The sequence below is a fragment of the Homo sapiens genome, chromosome 12, assembly GCF_000001405.40.
Source record: "Homo sapiens chromosome 12, GRCh38.p14 Primary Assembly".
In the NCBI taxonomy this organism is placed as follows: Eukaryota; Metazoa; Chordata; class Mammalia; order Primates; family Hominidae; genus Homo; species Homo sapiens.
The window spans coordinates 115,034,323-115,056,156 of record NC_000012.12 but is presented as its reverse complement, the minus strand read 5'-3'; the positions used below and the strand labels follow the sequence as shown (position 1 = coordinate 115,056,156).

General features: G+C 39.3%; 1 long non-coding RNA gene across 3 annotated transcripts in view, besides 1 other annotated feature; it reads right to left on the bottom strand.

Annotated features, from left to right (window-relative positions):
- LOC102723639 (uncharacterized) overlaps window positions 1-21,834 on the bottom strand; it is a 92,097-nt gene that overhangs the window by 49,082 nt on the left and 21,181 nt on the right. Inside the window, exon 1 of one of the 3 annotated variants that reach the window (XR_007063588.1) lies at window positions 15,358-16,551. The exons of 1 other annotated variant lie outside the window; for it this stretch is intronic. This is a non-coding gene — a long non-coding RNA (uncharacterized LOC102723639). Of the gene's footprint in view, window positions 1-15,357; window positions 16,552-19,328; window positions 19,905-21,834 lie in introns of those variants that run through there. One more of the 3 variants, XR_001749332.1, reaches the window with a different exon arrangement.
- Window positions 6,206-6,406: a silencer, noted in NCBI's record as "peak1978 fragment used in MPRA reporter construct". NCBI's record gives its function as "represses an SCP1 promoter by STARR-seq MPRAs in K562 erythroleukemia cells {active_cell/tissue: K562}" and the evidence as "EXISTENCE:reporter gene assay evidence [ECO:0000049][PMID:32103011]".

The window sequence follows — 21,834 nt, the reverse complement described above, 5'->3', positions numbered from 1 at the left end:
CTGATCCCATAGAAGTACAGAGTAGAATAGTGGTTAATAAAGTCTGGGGAGGGTAGGGGATGAGGAGAGATTAGTCAGTAGGAACAAAATTACAGATAGGTAGGAGAATAAGTTCTGGTGGTCTATTGCACAGTAGGGTGACTATAGTTAACAATATTGTATTGTATTGCATATTTCAAAATAACTAGAAAAGAGGATTTTGAATGTCCTCAACTAAAGGAAATGATAAATGTTTGAGGTGATGAATAAATTAATTACCTATTGTTTTATATATATATATATATAAACAGTATAAATACGTACCAAATGTACCGTATATGTACATATGTACCAATGTATATATGTACCAAAGCATCACATTGTACTCCTTATATATGTGCAAGCATTATGTGTAAATTAAAATTAAAATAAAACTTAAAATTAAGTCTGACATGAAAAATAGATTTATTGGTTTAAGACAATTTCAAATTTATTGTATATATTTGGAGAAGCAAATAATTAGGCTCACATGTGACTCTTACTAATGATATTGCTAGTGATATCTGGTTAAAAGCAATAAGAAAAAGAGAGACAGAAAGAGAAAGAGAGAGAGAGAGAGAATATTGAATTAAGTGTTTAAACTTATAGGAACAAGAGACCCACAGTTAGTGTAGAAGATTATCACATCTGAAGAAAATGTCCCCAAACCCAAAAACTCATTGAGGAAGCTAAATATAAAAATGGTATCTTTCAAGAGTAAAGAAAGAGAGCAAAGAGGAAATGTGACACCCCTTCCCCACCATACCCCAGGGAGACAGGCTGGGCCAAGAGACCAGACTTATCTACTCTCAGAAGCAGACCCCCCACCCCCAAAGAAAAGAACGTCATTATATATTGAGAATAGAGTAAATTCATCAAGAAGATGTAACAATTATAAATATATACACACAAAATAACAAAAGCCCCAAAATATATAAGAAAAACAGTGAAAGAATTGAGAGAGAAATAGACAGTTTTACAGTACTAGTTGGACACTTCAATACCTCGCTTCTGATGATGAATAGAACCTTCAATAGAAGATCAGTAAGAAATGGATGATTTAACACCATAAATCAAATATACCTAACAGACATATATAGAACATTCCACCCAACAGGATCAGGAGTACACATGGAACATTCTCCAGGATAGACCATCTATTGGGCCACACAGAATTCTCAATAAATTTAAAACTTCTGAAATCATACAAAGCATCTTCTCTGACCACAATGACTTGAAACTATAAATCAATAACAGAAGGAAAACTGGAAAATTCACAAATATGTGAAAATTAAACAACACACTCAAAGAATAAATCCCAAGAAAATTGTAAAATATTTTGAAACGAATGAAAACAAAAACATAAAATACCAAAACTTATGGGATGCAGTGAAAGCCGTGCTCAGAGAGAATTTTATAGCTATAAACACCTTCTTTAAAACAAATCTCTAATTAGGCTGAGCGCAGTGACTCACGCCTGTAATGCCAGCAGTTTGGGAGTGAAGTTAAGGTGGGTGGATCACTTGAGGTCAGGAGTTCAAGATCAGCCTGGCCAACATGGCAAACTCCTCCTCTACTTAAAACACAAAAATTAGCTGCCTGTAGTCCCAGCTACTCGGGAGGCTGAGGCAGGAGAATCGCTTGAACCCAGGCGGCGGGGGTTGCCGTGAGCAGAGATCACACCACTGCACTCCAGCCTGGGTAACAGAGTGAGAATCCATCTCAGGGAGGGGAAAAAGAAAAATCCTCTAATTAATAACCAAACTTTACATCTTAAGGAACTAGAAAAATAAGAACAAACTTTACTAAAAATTAGATGAAGAAGAGAGATAATGACAGGAAGAAAACAAAAGAAGAGATAAACAAAAGAGACCAGGAAAACAATGAAGAGAATTAACAAAACCAAAAATTGGTTCTTTGGAAAGGTTGAGAATATTGACAAGCCTTTAGCTGGACTGACAAAAACAAAACAACAACAAAAAAAAAAACAGAAAAGAAAATAATAAAAGATGCAAATAACTAAAATCAGAAATAAAAGTGGAGACATTACTATCCACCTTACAGAAATAAAAAGGCTTTTTAGAGAATACTATGAACAACATGCCAACAAACAGTATGCCAACAAATTATATAACCTACATGAAGTATAATAATCCCTAGAAACACACAAATTACTAAAACTGACTCAAGAGGAAAACGAAAATCTGCACAAACCTATAACACAACAAGTAAAGAGACTGAATTAAAAAAAAAAAGATTATGTCTCCACCTGTGAATTCTACCAAATGTTTAAAGAAGAAATAACATCAAGTTTTTTCAATCTTTTCCAAGAAAAAAAAGAGAAGAGAAGGAAATGCATGCTGACTTATTCTATGAATGTAATATTGCCCTGATATCAAAACTAGACAAAGATGCCATTACACACCAATTAATGCAGATGCAAAAATCCATAACAAAATACCAGCAGACAAAATTCAACAGCTTATTAAAAGGTTTATGCACCATGACCAAGTGGTATTTACCCCAGGAGTCCAAGGGTGGTTCAAGGAGTCCAAGAGCAAGACTCCGTCTCAAAAAAAAAAAAAAAGAAAAGAAAAAGAAAACCAATGTAATGCAACATTTTGATAGAACAAAGAAAAAATATGTAATCTCATACAACCCAGAAAAAGCATTTGACAAAATCCAATACCTTTGATAATTTTTTAAAATACTCATAAAATTAGGAATGGAAGGGAATTTCCTTAAATTGAGAAAGAACGCTTATGAAAACCCCACAGTAAGAATCACAGAGAATTATGAAAGACTGAAAGCTTTCTTCCTAAAATCAGGAATAAGGCAAGGGTGTCCACTTTCATCACTGCCATTTAATGTTGCATGAGAAATTCTAGCCAGAGCAATTAGGCAATAAAATAAGTAAATAACTTGAATAGACATTTCTCTGAATAAGATATACAAACAGCCAATAAGCACATGAAAAGATGCTCAATATCATTACTTGTTAGGGAAATGCAAATAAAAAAACACAATGAGATACCACTTCACCCCCACTAGGATAGTTATAATTTTTTTAAAAGGAGAATAACAAGTGTTGGTGAGCATTACATTGCTGGTAGGAGTGTAAAATGATGCAGCCATTATGGAAAACAGTTTTGCAATTCCTCAAAATGTTAAACATAGAATTAACATACAATCCAGCAATTCTACTCATAGGTATATACCGAAAAGAATTGAAAACAGGTACTGAAACGAATTATTGAACAGCTTATTGTATCATAACAGCACTATCCACATTAACCAAAAGGTGGAAGCAACCAAAAGTTAATTTTATGTTATGTAAATTTTATGCCTCTGGGTAAGTGTGTGTGTGTGTGTGCTTGTGTGCATATGGATGTGTGTGTGTGTGTTTCAGAAAAAAATTTTAAAAGGTTAAGTCTTGTTGTATATTTTTTTTCTAAAGACAGGAAATATTAAAACTTGGTAAAACTTGGTAAGAATGCTTTTCAGGCAAAATGACTCAAATTTGGCAAAGGTAATATTAATCTGGATGCTGAAGAATGCAAATCATAGTTATTTGGAAAATTCCCCTCAGTGAGGAACCAGTAAGAAACTAGGACAATTGTCAACAAATGATTTCTGTTCTTCAATCTTCAGTTTGATCTCTAGGAAACGAAAACACCAGTTATCCAGGAACAGATGACAATTTTCTAAATGGTATCTGGTGGTGGGATTGACAAACCAAGCTAACATCAAGGACTCCGTGGGTTGTGATGTAAAGTGGTTATTTCAGCATAAATCTCCAGGTGGAACAACTTGTTTTCTCACCAACAACCTCCTTTGTTTTTAAATCACAATACTAATAATAGTAATAGCGTCAAGCACAGCAACCTTTTATTAACTGTTTTCAGACACAGATAAGAAACATTGCATATATTGCATAACTGAGCACTCTCAACGAGTTGAAATTACACCCGTTTCACTGATGGAGAAACTGCTCACAGAGAGGCAGTTTTAAACCAAGATTTAATCTCTACATTCTAAAGAGAAAATCAAATTTACCATCAAGCATTACAAATGAGTATAATGAGTTTCTTCCATGAACTCCGCAGAAACACAAGCAATTGCATTGCAATCTGACATTCCACTCACCCCTGCTTTTCCGATATTGTTGAAGGCAAAAACATCCTTTGTCCTGGAAGTTCACCATTCAATTTTAGCCATCTGCAGCTACTTAAATTTAAAATAATTAAAATCTAAAAATAAAAATTCAGTTCTTCAATTTCACTACCCATATTCAAGTGCTCAACAGTCACATATGACTAATGTCTATTGTATTGGTCAGCTTGGCTATAGGATATCTTCATCATTACAAAAAGTTTTAGTGGACAGCATTGTAGAGAAATCCTATGCCACCAAATTTCTGATGCTAGATTGACAACCTCGTGGCTCTTCTCTTCTGATTACCTTCCCACAGTTTAGCAAACAATGTGTGTGAACATGCAAGTGTGTCTACATATCATGCTTCAAAGAGCTGAACTAACAAACTGAGCTTGTCCATAGCGGCTCTGAGCAGGCATGGCACAAATACTCCTGGCCCTGAGTTGATTTATCTTGATGTTTGGTTGAATTCCTCACATTTTGGTTCTCTTTGGTAACCTTTTCACCCCGTTCTTTTTTAAGGTGGCTGGCTGTTATAATTCATCATGAACGCATCTCACTCCAGGCCTGGCTCCCCTGACAGAAGGAACAGCCGGTCTTCAAAAGGTCAAAGGCAATTTTCTCCTTTCGTCTTTCTCAGTTTCCAGCATAGATTTGTCACTCTGAGAAAGCATGAATTCTGGATTTGATGTACTTTAATTGATTTCACCCTCAACAAGTCAGACTGTCCATCAGCTCTCTCCTTGGGCTTCCCTGAACTTTGCTTAAGGCTAAGGTTTTCATCCGTCCCTGGAACCAAGCTGTCACCAAGCAATTTACTCCCCATACCAACTCTCAGGACCCATCTCGTTTTCACTCCTGTAACTCTCCAGAGACAGAGGAAGAGATATGCAGGAGAGATGGTAGAAAGGAAAATTAAGGCAGAAAAAAAGAATGGATAATGGATGGAAAATCCTTTTCCTTTACTGCCTTTTTGGGTGAATTTGTCAGACTATTTTCTACAAATTGTTAATGGGGTGAGATCATGGAGAAAAATGGGTGGGTGGGTGAATGAATGGATGATGCTTTGATAAATTCATGGGTGGATGTACAAATACACACACAGATAAATGTATAAATAAATGAAAGATACCAGGCACAATCACCGATAACTTGATTCATTAGCAGATCTTAAAGTTTTTTATCGATTACTCGACATATGCCAGAAACAGTTACAGGTGCTGGAAGGATGAGAAAGCATATGTAGTCCCTGTCACCAAAGAGCTCACACTCCAAGAAGGAAGGAGGGCATGCAGCAATAAGAAATTGCAGGATAGATTATATTAAGGATATTTACAATATTGTGAGAATAAAGGGGGAAGAGTGAGTTTCAGAGACACTGCATGGAAACCCAGGAAATAATGAGTTTTAAGTGAATAAATTAATGTATGTCAAAGTATTTTCTGGGAGTAGAAACCCAAGCTGCCTATTCAAGACTGTTCCTAGGTCAAATGATAAAGCACAATATGTGGGTGCCCTGTGAGTTCTCTCTGTTTTCCCCTTACCCATGTGAAGAGCATGGGCTCATGTAAATTTGTATCTTCCTTCATGAAGAAACGTTTAGGAATAAAGGGGCCAGGCATGATGGTGCACACTTGTAGCTCCAGCTGCTTGGGAGGATGAGGCAGGAGGATCACTTAAGCCCAGGAGTTGGAGGCTGTAATGACCTCTGATTGCACTACTGCACTCCAGCCTGGGTGTCAAAGCAAGACCTTGTCTCTGAAAAAATAAAAAATAAAAATAAAAGGAGTAAGGGATTAATTAAATATATTACATCTCTCAGACATTTGTGTATTTTGAGAGGTTTTCCTGGACTAAGATTCCTCATAGTAAATAACTTAGTCATATATTCAATTTAGCCTTCAGTTTTATCTACAGGAAACTAAAACACCCAGTTATCTAGAAATAGCTGATAAGTTTCTAAATGGTATGAGGTGGTGGGATTGACAAACCAAGCCAACGTCAAGGACTCCGTGGGTTGTGTTGTAAAGTGGTTGTTTCGGCATAAATCTCCAGGTGGGCCACCTTGCTTTCTCACCAACAAAGCCTGGTATGTAATTGTTGGTTTGTGTCATGATGGAAAGAATGTCCACCACCTTCCTTCTGAAGCCTGGAGAAGACATTTGTAAAACCTGGGTGCTGTCCATGGTTCTAAGGGCATTTGGCGTGTTATGGATTTCTAGTATGAAGAATACAAAGAACACCCAGGATGACAATGATCTCTTGTACAAAGTTCTAAAGGAACAATTTTAGATTGACTACCAAAAGTTCCATAAGGGATAATGGCTTTGAGTGTGAAGATAACCTTACTGAAGAGAAATGTTAAGACTTTAGTCCTGAGTTCAAATCCTACCTTGGTCACTTCTCTGAGCTTAGTTTTCTCTTTGATTAAATTATACTTTACATAATTATTGAAGGAATTGACTGAAATAATGAGAGGATATAGAGGATAATAGTAAGGCTGGGCGACAATGCACGTCCATTCTGATTGCCACACTTAACTTTGTGACCTTTCTCCTTCTGTGTGTCAGTTTCTTCAATAATAAAATGTGGTTGGGATAATAGTACTATTATCCCATAGAGTTATTATGTGAGAATGAAACAACTTAGCTTATGTGGAGTAACTTAGAATGATGCTTAGGACATAATAAGAACTCATTAAATGCTTGTCATCGTTTGCTATTATTAGATCGTTTCCACATCATGGGTTGTCATGTGTCTGGACCCTTTGTGAAGAAATCTGGCTTTATTAACAATATTTAACTTTTCAGTTATTCTTTCATTCATTCACCCAATTCAGAAAATAGGTACCAAAGATTCACTGTCTTTCTAATCTTCCCAACCACCAATTACAGAGAGTCAAACATTTTTATGGCAGGATTCCTCGACAAACACTCAAACTGGATTAAAGACTGAATGTCGTTATTTAAGGTCAAAGTTATTTAAGAACCCTTCTAACTTTATTTTTACAAATTGAATTGAACTGAATTGAGTGTGCTAACTACACTGGTGCAGCATCTTTGAGTTACCTTTGGTTCTGCTGGTATTTTTGTTCTGTTTTGGTTTTATCTATTCTTGAATTGATCTAACGGATCCCATTTTTAGTGAGATTTTGAGAATGTTAAAATGACACAGCATGTAAAGCATAACTTCAGTTTCTTCCATCTGGGCCAGAAACACAGTAGGTGTGTGGCAATTATATTCAGTGAAGGCAGGAATAAATACATGCGTGAATAATGTGAAATTATTTTAGCTTCTATATCTGTTTTTATTACTTATTAATTTTAAGATGTCAGAAGCAGAAGAGCAGTAGGGATGAATAACTCAACAAAATTCCAAGTTGGCTTTTAAAAAGTGTGTGAGGGGGTACTAAATAGTAATGTACCCTAAGCTCTCCTTTATTGACTTCTTTATTTCCTGGGCCTCCAATTCAGGGATTAATCCATCCAATTTATTTGCTTTAGCCTCAGAAAGCAGTCCCACTTTCCACAAGGACAAAGGCTTAGAGCTGCTAGAATGAATGGCTCTCGTTAATTGATGTATCCAAAGTCTGTCTGTACATCAGCCACTCCATCTGTCTGCTTTTGCTTAAAAAGGCGCCTTCCTTAACTCATACTTTTTGTATTTTTCCATAAACTAGTTCTACATTTTGGGAGAAGGAGCCTGGTTGAACATTTCCATCTTCTTTCCTGTTTTAAAAAGAAAAACAACCATCCTGATCTGTCAGTTTGAATACAAGGGTACTTTAACAAGATCCTAGGAACTTATTTTCTGCCCCATAGCAAGGTACTCATTGTGTAAGTTCCTGCACTTGCTGATTCTGTGAGGTGCTGACATGAAGTCACAGTCTAGAAACTGGTGGCTGTGTCTTAATATTGGCTGCCTAGATACTTTTTAAAGCAGATTTATGCTGCATTTTAAAAATCCATTATGCTACATTATGAGCTTATTGTCCATCCAGATAATATTGATCAACTTTAGACTTCCAAATCTGCGTGTATAATTGTCCCATGCAATCAAAATTGTTTATGTGTGTAGTATGTTGAGACGTCTATAAAATTATAAATTGGAAGTATTTACATATGCCACAATATATTTGATTACGTTGAATGCCCAATTTATATCACCATTCATTGTAATTTTTTTCTCTATTTCATAATCTTTGCTGGTGACTTGACTTTTCTCTATAGAAGATACTTTTCAGACCACTCAAAATTAGTGTCTTTGACAGATTTTTTAAAGTAGCACATCTTGTGTGGTTTGTTCATAGAGTTTGCTCATTATAAAAAAATTTGGCATTAAAAAAGAGACTAAAGAAAAAAATTAAAGTCAACCTTAATGGCATCTCTTAGAGATAGCCACTGTTATTTTTGTCAATTTTATTTTGGTCTGTATGTGTGTATATGTTGCGTGTATATGTTGTTTGTGTGTGTGTTTATGTGTTGAATGTTCACCAATTAAGATCATATTACCTTTGCAGTTTTATATCCAGCATTTTTCCCACTCAACTTTATATCATATGCAATTTATTCTTTTAAATGCTTTTCCAAAACACAAAACTTTTAATAACTACAAAATATTCCAGTCTATAAATGAGATGTAATTAAGTTAATCATTGTTAATTTTTGACACACAGGTATTTTGCAATTGTTTGCTGGTGTGAGTGAATAAAGCTATGACAGACATCTGTATGTTCTAAGTCACTTTGCTGATTGAGTTCTTATATTTAAATTCTAGAAAAAGAGTTTAAGACTTCAATAGCCATGTTTCAAATTCCTGCAGCAGCTCTATAATAAAAACTATCTTCTACTCTGTAGTTGATTGAATTATCAGCTTAGATTTTAACTGTATTCCTCTATCTGTGCCCCTTGCCATCTAACTTTGCAGTTAAGTGTACACACTAAGTGCACTTCCTCATCCATTGACTTGAGGTTCAGCCATGTGACTTATTTCAGCCAATGGGATGTTAACAGATGTGACATAAACAAGGACTTGAAATGTGCTTGCACCACATGGCTTGTCTTCTTCCACCTTCACAATCTTTACGAGAAGTGCATGTCCTAGATAGATCATTGGTCCCAAAAGGACTATAGATGCACAGAGCAGAGATAGCCAACTGGATTGAGGACTTAAAACTTGATGCAAAAGCTATTCAGTTAAGCCCAGCCTAGATCAACCTACTTCCAGGCAATCTGCAGACACATATGAGCAAGCCCAGCTGAGATCAGTAGAGCTGTCCCCAAGGAACCTGCAGATATGGGAGGAATAAATGCTTATTGTTATATGGCACTGGGATTTGGTGATGGTTATGCAGCAATAGCTAACAGATCTACTCTTGGTAATTTAATGAGAAATTTAGTCCTTCATTTAATAACAAACAAATGGTGGCAATACAACATAGTGGTTAATAAAAGAGTCTTGGGAGCTATCTGGACCTAAGTTTGAATGACCTTAGGCATATTGCTTAATCTCCGTGAACCTCAGTTTTATGGCCTTTAAATGGGAAGAATATCAGTACCTACTTTCTGGAATTGTTATTAAGATTAAACCAGTTAACGTCAGTTAACTGATATCAGTTAATATTAATAAAGTGTTTGGTACAATGCCTATGTCCAAAATAAATGTCAATAAATGATTTGTATTGTTTTCCACTAAGGAATATAGACCTCTTCAGATCAGAGGTCTATATTAAATTAGAGTTAATTACTTCTAGAATCTTAGGCTAAAACAGTGTCTGGTAAATAATAGGCATTCAATTAATATTTATTGATTAGTGATTGTTCTTTGCTATTGTTCTTCTACTTAATAAAATGAATTGGAAACAGAGGTGGGTAACACCCCATTGTTTGCTAGATCTAGAGTTTCTTCTTTTGCTGAATTACTTCTACAACGATAATAATCTACCTGAGTTTACCCATCAGTGACAATTTTTTGAAATAAATAAATAGGCATGTTATGTGTGCACTGCATGATGGAAAGATCTAGCATTCATACTCCATAGTATCATAATTCCCCATCGTCATTCTTAGTATCCAACAATCCTCTACACTCCACCACCACCAGTCACTGGATAGGGTCGTAGGGTGATTGTAGACAGATGTGGACCTAAAAAAAAGTGTTATGCTGAGCGTTAAAGATATACAACAAACCCAACACACATTTCTATAAAAGTTCTGCTAGATGCTGCTTAAAACAAGAGGGACAGGGCTATGGTTTAAGGTTGCACAGGCCATGTCTGCCTAATCTATAAGGATTAAAATTCTTTAGTGATCTTACTGTAGGAAAAAAAAGTCGAGGTGTTTCTATTGAGCTTGCTGCTTTGCAGATAAATTGTTTAAACAAAAGCTCCTAACCAAGATTAGCACAGTGCCTGGAAAGTTATAAGCACTCAGTAAATGCTAGCTATTATTTTCATTGAAAAATATGATTAATATTGATAGAACTGGTGATTGTAAGTTAATTGCAGTTCCCCACTTGTGGCTGTAATCAAAGTAGAAGCCCTCCTTTTTAAAAACCAATCTTGAGTACAAGCACTCCAAAACATAATACTAGGATATTTTAATTCATATTTGTTACTCCAAGCATCTATGCATCAATTGCTTATTGAACACTTACCATGAACTAGATACTGCACTGGGTACTGAGAATACTACAGTGAGGAAAGTATTCTCAAACCAAAATCCCTTCCCTCACACAGCCGACATTCAAATCAGAGAAGCAGATGGGAAACAAATAAGAAAACACGAATAATATACATATGTATTTTTTTGTCGCGGAGTTTCACTTGTCGCCCAGGCTGGAGTGCAGTGGCACGATCTTGGCTCACTGCAACCTCCACCTCCTGGATTCAAGTGATTCTCCTACCTCTGCCTCCCGAGCCTCTGGGACTACAGGCATGCACCACCACGCCTGGCTAATTTTTGTATTGTTAATAGAGACAGGGTTTCACCATGTTGGCCAGGCTGGTCTCGAACTCCTGACCTCAAGTGATCCACCCACCTCGGCCTCCCGAAGTGCTGGGATTACAGGCATGAGCCATCACTCTCAGCGCAAGAAAGTAAATGATCAGTTACTGATAATTTTCAGGAATAAAATAAAAAGAAGGATGCAGTTCACAGTGATGAGATAATGAGATAATGAGATTGAGTGGTCAGGAAAAACCCATGTTCTCTTAGAACTATAGTTCTCTATGTTTATTGGTCTCCATTTTCTTTAAAAATCTGATGGATTCTATGGACTCTCCAGAAAAAAAATTATTTATATATATATATATATATATATATATATATATATATATACACACACAGGCACACAGGGCTTACACGCATTGCTTATATTTTATTGAATCTCTGCTTTAGACACTCATCTAAGTCCTATCTTTGGCCATGACATGCTGATAGCAAAAGCAGAAGTAAGAAATATTCACTTCCATATTGTCTTAGAACAAATTGTCAAAGCACACCACTTCTCTGACTTGGAAAAAACAATTGTCTGAACTCTCAATAGCTGATGCCTACATGTTTTGACATAGAGGCACTATGCCTTATCGTCTCTGGCAGAGTTCGCTTGCTATGTACCAGAATTCTTGCTCCCTCTATGGTAGTTTAAAGTTGGGATTCAGAAGCCACTATCCACACAAGGACTACATTTCCCAGCTACCCTTTCTTAGTGGTACAGTCATGGGACTAATTCTTGCCAATGAAATGTGAGCAGATGCCGTGTATGACACTTTCAGACCAAATTTTTTAAGAAGCCTTCATCTTGCTATGGTTTCACTTCATGCCAGCTGAATGCCGGTGATTATCGGAACCTAGGGAAAGGTGAAACCACACGATAGGGGAAATCTGGATTCTAAAATCACTACATGAAGGAATACTACTCACCAACTAGAAACGTTCACATTTTTTATGTGAGCGACAAGTAAACTGAAATGGTGTTAAGTCACCAACATTTGGTATTACCCCTAAATGATATTTCCTAAATTGTGATCCCTGAAACGGCAGCATCAACATCACCAGGGAGCTTGTAAGAAATGCAAATTCTCCCACTTCAGAAGAACAAAGTCAGAAACTCTGGAGGGGTGGGAGGGACCAGCAATCTGTGTTCTAATTGGCCCTCCAGGTGACTGGGAACCACTGCTCTAAATACATAATACAGGGCCTATGAATGGGGGTTATAAAATCTGATTTCCTGGGTTCAGATCCTGGCCCGATCACTTATGAGCTATGTGATCTTGGGCATGCTACTTAACTTCCAGTGTCTCAGCATGTTGCTAGGTATGGATATCTAAGGGTAGATCACAATAGTATCTAACTCCCATGCTTTGACATGAGCATTAAAGGAGATCATCCATGTGGAGGGTTTAGAACAGTGTCTGATGCACAATAAGTGCTTAGAAAACTTTAACTGTAATGCTTATCAAACTGACAGCCAAGTCTCAACCCCAAGTTTGCATAAAATGGACTTTTCATTTCTCCCCCTCTGCTTAACGCTATTCCCATGCATGCTTGAATCGTGGACACATCTGTCCTGGCAGGCATTCATTCCTTCAGAAAATGATTATGGAGGTCCTTGCATGTGCCAGACATCATGCTAGGATCCAGACAAGCAAGAGAAAACAAGGCAGACTGGATCCCTGCCTGGTGATAGGCCTCTGACCTGGCCGACCTCACTGTGGCCAGACAAGCAAGGACAGTGAACAAACAGGTGGCTGAACTGGACCCTGAGGGAATAAGACCAACACATTTTTTCTTTGTGCAAATTTCTGGCTGATTTTCTTTTTTCACCCATGCAAGAAGATGCCCTTGCTTTTTCCAACAGCCGCCCTGTGTGCAGACTAATCTTTGAATCTATGTTCTCTAAGCTGCTTTAAAATATGATGCTCAGTGGTTAATCCAAAGCCTGTAGAAAGAGCCCTGACGCCAGGTGTAAGCATATTTTTAAAGAAGAGGGCATACTTTCAAAACTAGCACCTGGGGCCAGCCAATTAAATTCCTCAATGAAAAATGCATGGACAAATGGAAGGCTGGATGCCTCCACTTTGATTCTTACTCAACTCTGATTGGCCACAGGTTTGGCCATTTTGTTTCATTGACCAAATGGTACCCATCACCCCCTCATGAGGACTTGCACCTGCCCTCAAAGGAGCCAAAGCTGCCAGCTCCCCCTCAGCCCCTTTGAACGCTCCTTATCAGCTTTAATACTTAAAGCCCTAGAATTTGTCAGCTTAGATTCCCCACAATTTGATGGGCAAAGGGGTGTGTGCTCCAAGCAGCCTGCCAACTTCACTCTCACAGCTGCAACTCTCCACAGACACTCTGCTGTGGAAATGCAAAGAATTTTACAAAAGAGTCACCCTAACCTCACATAGTCTGTGAACTCCAGTCCCTCCTGTTCTTTCCTGTTCTTTCACAGGAGATCCAATTTCTCTCTGACTCAATCTTTGTCAGGGCACAAGGTCAACTGGCTGGCTTCTTATACTCTTATGGTCCCAGATATATAGAGTGGGCAAGAAATGAAAAAAATAAAATAAAATCTGTGCCCATGGCAGACATCAATAATCAATTCCAGAACTTTTATCCCTTGCCTAGATCCATCCTCCAAATTTGTGAGGACTTCAGACAACCATCACTAATTAATCTTGGTGGTCATTTAGACCTATTTGCCATTACAATCTAGACCAGCCCTTATACAGAAAATAAAACAATAAAAACAAGAAAGGCGAATAACTTATATCCATCTTCAAACAGCGTGTGTGAGTCAAAATTGAGATTAGAATTCAAGTGTTCCTAATCGCCAGTCTTGTGCCCTTCCTTATGCCAAGAGACCATCAGGCCCCTTGAAGTATCTGGAGATCCACTCCACCTCTCCAGATTAAACAGTCCTAAATAAATGACCCATGAAATGTTCTTGGGTTCAACTTTCATCTCCCACCAGCGTGCAGGATAAATGGTGTATTAGTCGGCTATTGTAGTAATGCTGCATAACAAACCATCCCACAAATCCAGTGACTAATAGCTACAAGCATTTATTCTCACATTCATGGGTCTGCAATCAACTGCGGCTCAGCTGACGTGGGCCTGGCTTGGCTCCATGACTCCACATACGCTGCACGTGTGTTTATTCTGGAGTCCTAGATAAAAGGGCAGTGACTACCTAAGTCATGTCTTTCTCAACATGGATTAAGAAAGCTCAAAACCTGAACCAAAACATGCAAGCATGTTTAAGAACTCATGCATACATCATGCCCTCTAACATTGCACTGACCAAAGCAAGTCATATGACCAAGCCCAAACTTAGCAGCATGCAGAAAATCTCTGCCCACATTAGTAAAGGGAGGGAGTGAATATTTGCTGTATAATAATATATATTATTTAAAACATGGCTTTTAAAATTATCAAGAAACATTTCAGGGAGGGTTTGGATAGCAGAAGCCTTTTTTTCACAGTGAGATTATACCAGGCTCTCACTAGAGAAAGTTGATAAGCTGCTGAGCACCAGATTTAATCTCTGAGAAAGCTAAATCATGTATTGTGTTAATACTGGCTCTCTGATTTTATTGCTGATTCCCCTGCTTTAATTCTCACCCCATGTAAGACAGATCATGAATATTTTAGTGGCCAGACAGTGAACTCCTCAAGAGTCACCTTTATGTCTTCCTTAATGCTGGCATTTTGAAAATATGTGGGTTTTCCGAAAGAAAGTGTTGAATAAATGATAAAATCATGGTGGTTAAAAGTATGGGTTTGGGGGAAAGAGTAAGCCAGATTCAAAGCTAAAGCCATCACTTATTGGCTGAGTATACTTGGTCACTTGTCTAAACTTTCTAATCCTCAGTTTTCCCCTCTGTGAATTGGGGGTAGCCATATCTGTCTTGCTGGGTACCTATTAAGTAATATAATGTAGGCAAAATGCCTGGTCCACCCCAGGCTGTCATATATTCTAGCTCATATTTTTATTCATCCTTTGTTAAAACTATCTTAAATCACTGAGTTCCTCTGGTGCAGTAGGCAATAGTGGCACTAATCTAATATTTCTAATTCTTTTCTTTTCAGGCACCTAGAAGAATTGTACTTCTTGTCCTCTTTTGAGGATAGGCATACCTGTGTGCTTTGCTTTGGCCAATGAAATATGAACAGAAGGTACCTGTGTCACTTTGGAACAGAAACTTTAAGAGCCATGATCAATGATTTCCATGTTCATTTCCCACTGCTGTGGTGACTACGAAAGCACTTGTTAAGATGAACTCTGTATCAGCCTGGATCTCTGAGAGACTTCATGGAGCAGAAATCCTCCGGCCTATATGCGTAGTGTATGTAGTATGAGAAAGGAGAAAGAAAGAAACTCATGTTAAGCCACTGAGATTTGGAGGGTGGTTCTTACTGCAGCATAACCCAGCCACTGTGCTTGATATACTTGGTATTACTAAGTTATATACTTAATATATACTTGATGATATACTTGGTATTATTAAGTATACTTGGTCTACTTACAGAATATTATGGATTATATTTTCGGAAAGATTTATGTTGCAAATAAACCAGTTATACCTGCCGGTATACCAGTACTTCCCCATATCTACGGAGTAGCCCTCTTAAGTCACAGAAGTTCAAGATTTAGAAAGAAATAAAGAACACTCTGATTTATACAACTAAAGCCTCAGGAAGAAAAGGGGTGGAGCTGTCCTCACAGACCACTGTGTCTAGGAACTCAAATTCTATTCTCTTTTTTCCTTTACTTCTTCACTCTGCTTCTCTCTGCATGCTGCCTTCTTGTGTCTTCCTGAACTCTGACTTTCTCCAGGCAATGAGAAAGTGGCCTAGTGGCCATAGGTGCTCTAGGCTCATGCACCATTAGCTTCAAGATCCTAGGACCATGTTTCCCAAAGTGTTTCTCAAAGACCATCTTGGATGTGAATTACATGTGCATATATTCCAGCTCCTCTCCAAGTTTACCATACTGATTCAGAATTTTTAGTGGTTTGGCCTGGGAATCTGCATCTTACCATGTTTATCAAGTGATCCATAACCAAAGTTGCATACCTAATCTAGTAAAGGACCATGAAAAGCCTGGCAGGAGTGGTGGAGTGACAACATGGGCAGCCCCACTAGGCTTACAGGGTTACAGGGTTAGGGTGAAGGAGACACAGAGTCCCCAAAGTTGGGAGTCAGGAGAAGGGATGCATGAAGCGTATACACAGCCATGGAAAGAAATTGTGAACCCAGAGAGCGCTCCAGTCTGGTTCTCCTATAATTGGGAAAATACTCTGAAACCTAATCTACCTGAAGACATAAAGCAGAAAAAAACAAATCTTCCTCTCCTTTAAAGCCATTAGCAAGTTTCAACTTCTAAAAAGTGGGCAGGGCACGGTGGCTCATACCTATAATTCCAGCACTTTGGGAGGCCAAGGTGTGCCGATCACCTGAGGTCAGGAGTTTGAGGCCAGCTTGGCCAACATGGTGAAACCCCATCTCTACTAAAAATACAAAAATTAGCAGGGCATGGTGGTACGCACCTGTTATCCCAGCTACTCGAGAGGCTCAGGCAGGAGAATCGCTTGAACCCAGGAGGCAGGGGTTGCAGTGAGCTGATATTGCACCACTGCGCTCCAGCATGGGTGACAGAGGGAGACTCTGTCTCAAAAACAACAACAAAAAAAGTGCATTATGAGGAGGAATTATTAGCTCCTGAGCACCTATTCCAAGCTAAGTACCCCTTGACACTCTGCAGAGAATGCCAGTGTTTGGCTAACACAGCTCCCATTCCCTACCTCTCCTCTTTCCCATGCCTGCAATTCTAGAGGGTGCAATGTCAAATTCCTCCTTTATGAGCTTCTCTTGCAGCCATAAGTTATCATGAATTGTCATGATGTGACCTGAGCCACATCATGGCCAATGAGACATCAGTGAAAGCTACTGAGAGCTTCCAGGAAAGACTTTATTTTCCTAAAAAAAAAAAAAAATCTGACATTTCTCCCATCCTATACCTGGAAGGTGGCCATCATTTCTGGAGCTGAAGCAGGTACTTTACAACCATGAGGTAAAGGCTAAGAGTATCTTAGAGACTTTCCTCTGATATCGTTCTGCCATAAACCCATCCCAGCAGGTGTTGGCCTCCAGATTCCTTGTTGTGTGAGATAATTGAATGTCTTAATGGCGTTAGTCACTGTCCAATTAACTTTTTCTTGCAAATGAATGAATTCCCATCAGATACCATTTCCTGATTTATTCCTCATAATAATATAGGCATTATCATTCTCACTTTTTAAGTAAGGAAACTGAGGTTAGTTAGTGAGGTAGGTCATTTCTTTAAGATCATAAATCAAAGAAGCAATGGGAATAGAATTCCAAACCAGATTCGCATGACTCGAGGGCTCTTTATAAGAAGCCTCCCTACCTGGATGGCTACACATTTTCTTTTCTATTTGTTTTTGTCCTGCCTCTTAAAACTATCATGTAATTACATTTTTTATGTACTAACATAACAGTCAGGAGAACAACAAGTACAGTGCCTGAGACACAGAAGATAATCCGACCATGTTCAAATAAGTGTTCATTATTTGAGGTTTATTAAGTAAAGGTAGGAGACTAAAATCAAAGACTGAGGACGAGGAAGGGTGGATTCAATATTCCAAATCATTTATTCATGAAGTGAATAATCCTCGCCCCTTCTACTGGTATCACTTAGCTGTTGCTATGTAACATACAACCCCAAAACTTAGTGACTTAAAGTGATAAACATGTATTATTAAAAGTAATTGCAAAAACCTCATTTGCTTTTGCATCAACCTAATAATGTCTCATGAGTCTAGGAGAAGGCTGGATGGTTGTGTTTATCTTGGCTGAGCTCAGTTGATTTAGGCAGGGCTTATTTTTGTGCCTATGGTCAGCTGGGGGAGTTAGCTGGGGATTGGCTGATTTAGAATGGACTTGGTTGAGACATGAGTTTCTCACATGCTTTGCATAGGCTGGTCCATGTCAGTTCGTGAGTGGATGGCAGGGATTCAAGAGTGAGCAGAGTAAGCGGAAATCTGTTAGTGTTTTTTAAGCCCTGGTTTGTATCACCTCTCCAAGGGCCAAGCAAGTTACATGGCCAAACTCAGAATCAAGGTGTGGGGTAAAAAATCCTTTGCACTGGGTGGGTGTGGTGGCTCATGCCTGTAATCCCAGCACTTTGGAAGGCCGAGGTTGGTGGATCACCTTAGGTCAGGAGTTCAAGACCAGCCTGGCCAACATGGTGAAACCCTGTCTCTACTAAAAACACAAAAATTAGCCAGGCGTGGTAGCGGGTGCCTGTAATCCCAGCTACTCAGAGACTGAGGCAAGAGAATTGCTTGAACCCGGGAGGTGAAGGTTGCAGTGAGCCGAGATCGTGCCACTATACTCCAACTTTGGCAACAGAATGAGATTTCATCTCAAAAAAAAAAAAAGCCTTTGCTCTAAATGGGAGAAGAGTTGGGGACATCACGGCAATAAACCTCCCATAGATCCCATGATGGATAAGTAAGAAGTAGCTATGTCTATAACCTAGGCCTGAATAACTGCTGGTCTTCCTTGGAGAGGTGAAACAGCAGAGCATGAAAGTGAGGAGCTATTCCCTAAGCAGCCCAGTAGGGTAGGAGACAGAAGCATTGTGCCTTAGAAGACCTGAATTTTGAGTCCTGGTTCTGTCATACACTTTCTCTACGTGACCTTAAGGAGAGAGACCACTTTCCTTTTCTGGTTTGGAATTTCTCTAACTAGAAAATGATAGAGACAAACTTTCAGAGGCCAACAACTAGAGGCCCGCAGACTAGATCTGGCCTATGTATTTATTTTGTTTGGCTTGCCCAGTATTCTAGTTTTGAACCAACATTTAAAAGTTAGAATGTTTCAGATAGAAATCTGGATTTCTGACTGATATGGTTTGGATTTCTGTCCCTACCCAAATCTCATGTCGAATTGTAATCCCCAGTTTTGGAGAAGTGGCCTGGTGGGAAGTTATCGGATCATGGGGGTGGATTTCCTCCTTGCTGTTCTCATGATAGTGAGTGAGTTCTCACAAGATATGGTTGTTTAAAAGTGTGTAGCACCTACCCCTTTGCTCTCTCTTTCTCCTGCTCTGGCCATGTGAAGACATGCCTGCTTCCCCCTTAACCTTCTGCCATGATTGTAAGTTTCCTGAGACCTCCCCAGCCATGGTTCCTGTACAGCGTGTGGAACTGTGACCCAGTTAAACCTCTTTTCTTTATAAATTACCCAGTTTCAGGTATTTCATTATAGCTGTGTAAGAACAAAACAATATACTGACTTTACTCAAAAATCCTGAAAGATTCAGCAAAGTTGGGTCAAGATTCCACTACGGCAACAATGGATGCAGCTGAGCTATGGATCCTCATCTGGGATATGCATTGCTCTCCACTATCTGACCTACTACATTGTCACTTACTCCATATTGTCTCCTGAACACTAAGATTTTTCTTACACTTGGCTGAACTCACTCATTGAAATTCACCTTTTGTCACCGTAGACATTTGAATTGGGTTTCCTGGACCAAATGGTGTGATAGCTGCACTCTGCGAGTCCACGGCATTGTTTCTTTGGTGCTCAATTTCACAGGTCAATACAGAAATTCTCCCATCAATTCCCCCTGATTTTAGGCCAGTGGATCTTAATCCTATGGGAACTCAAATCCATTTGAAATTCTGATGACATCTATGGGCAGAAAAGTGCTCATATAAGCACACACATGTTTGAACACATACACATACACAATATCACATAGTGCTTTGTCTGTCAAACTCCATTATCATAGAAGATGCAATTTGTCTGTCCTGCAGTCTATGGTGAACCTCAAGTTCTCCATCAAAGTATTCCCACCATAGCCCTGTCTAGACAATTTTCAGATCTATTTAGGACTCCAGAAAAGCATAAAAATTTCTTATAGTCAGAGGTCACCGTCTGTTCCCAGTTCCCTCCCCATTTCCCATTCACTCTTCCAAAGAACAGAGAGGAAAACAAGCAAGTTATAGCCAAGTGACCCATGCTGAGAAAAGAGCAGAAGTCAGCAGGGCCCTGACCTTCCTGTGTAGGTAACAAATTGGATACCATGTTTGTACTGAGCCCTGGAGGGAGGGAAGGAAGGGGGGAAGTAGGGAGGAGGAGGGCAGTGTGGGATGGAGGTGGGGTTACAGGGTCAGCCGACTTGGCTTTAGGCATCCACATAGCAACTCCATCCACCCCTTCCCAGGAAGCAGCCACTGCTGCAGGGCACACAGAGGGTAGCAGCTGGAGGTCAGCAGAGGCCAATACATGCACACACAAGGGTGTGTTTGTGTGCTTGAGTGTGTGTGTCCATTCCCAGCCAAGGGCAGGGAAAGCTACTGAGTTGAATTCTTTTAAGAGATCTCCAAGGACTTTCTGACCCAATCCCCACTTATTAAACATATAATTACTTTCTTTTTTTCTTTCCCTGCATTACCAGAAGACAGTGTAGTTTGGCCTTTAGGTACACAGTTTCTGGAGCTAAACTCCCTGAGTTCAAGTCCCACCTGGACCACTTAATAGCTGTGTGAATTTGGAGGGTAACTTAACCCCTAGTTGCCTCAGTTTCTCGTTTCAAAAGAAAGGGAGATAGTAACAATGACTTCCTCAAATATTTGAGGAAGTTAATATGTATAAAATGCTAATAAGCACAAACTATAATTATTCATTCAGCAGACACATATAGAGGAGCCTATATATGATGTATTAATTTTCTGGAACATCTGTGCAAAGCAATGTTCATTTTATGGAAATTATATTAATCTTCCCCCAGAGCCCTGGCACAACACATGCATTTAATTCCCATTTTACAGATGAGGAAACTGAGATTCAGGGAAGTCGGGTCCCTTGCCCAGGTTTACCCCACTAATGAATGATGGAAACAGCCAGTTCAAAGCCCTGGCTCCTAATCAATTCACCGTGATCTCCAGTTTTCTTTCGTATTCCAAACACCCAGGTCAATGTTTGACATATAAGTGAATGAACCAGTGATTGGTTCTGCCATTCTCCCTTTCTTTGCTCTTTCCACTTTAACCTTTGTCCAGAGGCAGCCCTGAGGAAGCCATGCACTTCTTGGATACCCATATCTCTTTTCTCTTTCCTGTTCCTTGATGCTGTTCCATCAGTCTTCATCTTCACCACTCAACTGCCATCCATCTCTCCTACTAGTACCTCCTTGGAAGTAAGGCCCCAAATATTTCTCTGGCACTGGAGGAAATTCATTCTTTCTGGTTTAATTTGCCCCGTCTGGCCTTAATTGCTTTGCCCTGTTGTGAGAGGAGACCTCCCATGGCGACGGCCCCGAGGATGGGTTGGAGGGTGGGAGGGTGGAGGAGGAAATCGGGGTGAGCTGTTGAGTGGAGAGTGGATTAGTCCAAGGCCAATGGGGCAACGGAAGTTGGGGATCTTGGAGCCTGTGGCTCCAGACCCACCCTTGGTTGTGACGTTTACGATTGAACTTGGGCAGGAGCATGTGTCTGGGGGCTGCGCCGGCCTCCCTGGCCCCTACCTTGAGTGTTTGGTCCTGCAGCTCATTAAGCAGTGACACTTAGCACATCATCAAACTGCTTTACAGGCACAGCCCACACAGCTCCTGGCCTCT